Here is a 3934-nt window from a genome sequence, read left to right on the forward strand (position 1 = left end):
ATTATTTATAGTGAACATTTAATGGAGGGGAAGTTCTGCCTTCAGGAAGACTATGAATATTGGGACTGTGTCCTTAGTAGACTTGGCACTAAAAAAATTCACTCATTTGACATCACAAGATTGCACAATAAATATTGGAGATGTTGGAAAGGTACAGGTACACAATGGAATACTACACATTCGAAATGAAGCTGTAGAATTGAATTTATTGACAAAGATGTTTATAATATATCATCATTAAGTGCACAAAAAGGGTAAACTATATGCTGAAGGATAGTTTGGGCAGCAAGCAAAAGAACATCTAATTCAAAATGAATTAAATAAATATATTTATTTTTATAATTATCATAATTACATTTATTAATCTAATTGTTCTAGTGCAGAGGTAAAATAGGCTTCAGGGTAGACTGATTCAGTGACCCAACAATATTATTAAAAAACAATGTTCTTTCTGTCTCTCTGCTCTGTAATCCAAAATATCTGCTTTATCTCACAGCTAGTTCCCCCAAATAATTGTAAGATAGATTCCAGGTGCAATTGGATATTACTACTTGCTTTCTCATTCATATGCTGAAGAAAGAGAGAATGGCTTGTTATTGCTTTCTGCAAAGACCAAAGAGGAAATTTTTGAAGTCTGTAGCCACTATCTCTTCATTTATCATTGGCTAGAACTGCTGATTTCTAAACTGATAGCTGGCGGAAAGAATGTGATTATCTTTAGACCAGTCAGACTCACACATTGAGTTAAAGGCAATTTCTAAAATCAGAGTACTGCCATTTCATGGATAGTAGAGTGGAATGCATTTGGGGATTTGGACACAGTTAAAAAAATCTCTATCTAATCTCTCTCTATGGATATTCTAGAAAATTAATATTGTCATATGATAGTATCTGGACAATGACTTACATTTCTTTTTAATTTTCTTCCTTTCACTCACATGTATATAATATTCTTCTGTAAATAAGCATACATTGTTTTTTGTCTCTTTAACATTTTAGTATGGAAAATTTCAAATAAATCCAAAAATAAAGATAGTAATAAAATGAAACCTCAAGTATCCATCACCCAGATTCAACAATTATCAACTTCTGGAAAACCTTGTTTTATGCACTGTTTGTAATAAGAAAAAAAAAAGTTGATTTTAGTTAAAAAAGAAGTTAAGATCTGCTTAACATTTTCTCTTGTCCATAGAATATACCTTAAAGCAAATCAGTAAAGTTTAGCTAAGGATAGCCCAATATTTTTCCTGTCAATTGCCCAAGATCTCTCTTAAATTATACCCCAAGTATTTTTTTGAAAATTTGGTTTTTCTCAGTTTCTTATCCTACATATGCATCTCAAAAATTTGGACCGCAGTACCCCAACATCAGGAGAAAAGCACAAAACTCTAGGAGCTTGTGTATATGAAACAAAGTGGCTCACTAAAAGCATAGTTATTTTGAAATCTCATTTTTAGTTTTAAAGTCTGTATTTTTTTTTTTTTACTCTATCTACCAATGTTTAATAGAAATAAAATATTTCAAATTACTCACCATTGAATAAACTTGACACTGTTGGAAGATGGTCCATGTTGGTCTTTTGGCTTCTTGTCCTCTGAGGCACCCTGACAAATACCCCTGTGAACACAAGGTCCCCAATTTAAGAGTCATAGATTATAGTTTTCTTCCCTTTTAAGACTCCCCTTTTGATCTTTGACCATATTTCCTTGACTTTTAAACTTCATTCTCTTTGAGGACTTTGCTTTGAATTCAGTCCTCTTGTTTTTTCCATTTTAGACCTCCTCAGCTCGTATGCCCTATCTTAGGATTAATACTCACTTTCCAGTCCTGGCCAGGCCTGGCCCAGTACTCTGCAAGAGGATCTTGGACCTGTAAGTCACAAATATCAAGGTACTCATTCATTTACTAAATCTTTATTGAGTATCAACCATGTTTCTGGCACTTAGCTAGTCCCTGGGGATACTGTGGTTAAAAAGGATAAAATCTCAGTGTTTAAGAAGACTAAAGACATCAGGAACACAAAAAATATTTAGGCAATTATAAAATGGGCAAATAAGTGCTACATTGGATGAAGTACTGCATCCTATAAAGCACAAAGCAGTATCCTAAGCAGATGAGGGAAGTCTTCCAGGAATGAGATGCAGTATAACAATAGGAAGGAAAAGTAAGTGGTGGTAATTTTCTATATTTGAATGAAAACTTACTCTTGCTCAACCACGAAGGATGTTTTCTTAGAAATAAAGGGATTGTCAAAAGCAGCATTCAGTATGGGAGCTTACAGTGATGTATCTAGAGGGGACAAGCATGAAGAGTTTGATTACTCGGGAGTGCAGTTTAGAAAATAACTATGTTTCCTTCACAGAAAGGAAGTGTTCTGCCAGGCGGAGTCATTGCTTCCTTTTCTCTCTTCCCTTAGTCCTTTGTTTTCTTTTTTCTCTTGTTTTCTTTTCTATTTTTTCTATTTTTTTTTTTTTTTTTTGAGATGGAGTCTCACTCTGTAACTCAGGCTGGAGTGCAATGGTGCAATCTCTGCTCACTGCAACCTCTGCCTCCCAGGCTATTCTCCTGCCTCAGCCTCCTAAGTAGCTGAGATTACAGGCACATGCCACCACACCAAGCTAATTTTTGTATTATTAATAGAGACAGGGGTTTTACCATGTTGGCCAGGCTGGTCTCGAACTCCTGACCTCAGGTGATTCGCCTGCCTGGGCCTCCCAAAGTGCTGAGATTACAGGTGTGAGCCACCACGCCTGGGCCAGCCCTTTGCTGTCATATCACATGTGGAACATCCCTACCTGCCTCTCCTATGCCTTCCTACCTGAAGAAATAAATTAATCATTTTCCCTTCTAATCTACAAACTGTGTATTATACTGAAACACAATGATACTTTAAAAAATTTAAGAATTAAATTGATTCAAATTTTATTTTATTTTTAGATTCAACTGATTATTTTGATTACTTAATCATTAAAAAATGATACTGTTCAGTATTCAGAAAGTTTGGGTTCATTTTTTTCTTTCTTGTTTCTCAATAAAAGAAATGGGTAGTGGTAGTGATGTTGGCATTTGTTCTGAAAGATAAATGTGACATGATACTCATTTCCTGCCTGGCGCGGTGGCTCACGCCTATAATTGCAGCACTTTGGGAGGCTGAGGCAGGTGGATCGCTTGAGCCCAGGAATTCGAGATCAGCCTGGGCAACATAGCAAGACCGCATCCCTAAAAAAGGAGTACAAAAAAAAATTAGCCAGTCTCATAACTTGGCCTGAAAATAAATAAATAAATAAATAAATAAATAGACTCATTTCCCATTGAGTAATCCAGAAAGAGACACACCCTGAATGGTATTGCCTAGGTTTTCTTCTAGGGTTTTTATGGTTTTAGGTCTAACATTTAAGTCTTTAATCCATCTTGAATTAATTTTTGTATAAAGTATAAGGAAGGGATCCAGTTTCAGCTTTCTACATTTGGCTAGCCAGTTTTCCCAGCACCATTTATTAAATAGGGAATCCTTTCCCCATTTCTTGTTTTTGTCAGGTTTGTCAAAGATCAGATGGTTGTAGATGTGTGGTATTATTTCTGAGGGCTCTGCTCTGTTCCACTGGTTATAGGAATTGGCAAGGACTTCATGACTAAAACACCAAAAGCAATGGCAACAAAAGCCAAAATTGACAAATGGGATCTAATTAAACTGAAGGGCTTCTGCACAGCAAAAGAAACTACCATCAGAGTGAACAGGCAACCTACAGAATGGGAGGAAATTTTTGCAATCTACCCATCTGACAAAGGGCTAATATCCAGAATCTACAAAGAACTTAAACAAATTTACAAGAAAAAAATCAAACAACTCCATCAAAAAATGGGCAAAGGATATGAACAGACAATTCTCAAAAGAACACATTTATGCAGCCAACAGACACATGAAAAAGTGCTC

The sequence above is a fragment of the Homo sapiens genome, chromosome 4 (genome assembly GCF_000001405.40).
Source record: "Homo sapiens chromosome 4, GRCh38.p14 Primary Assembly".
Taxonomy (NCBI): Eukaryota; Metazoa; Chordata; class Mammalia; order Primates; family Hominidae; genus Homo; species Homo sapiens.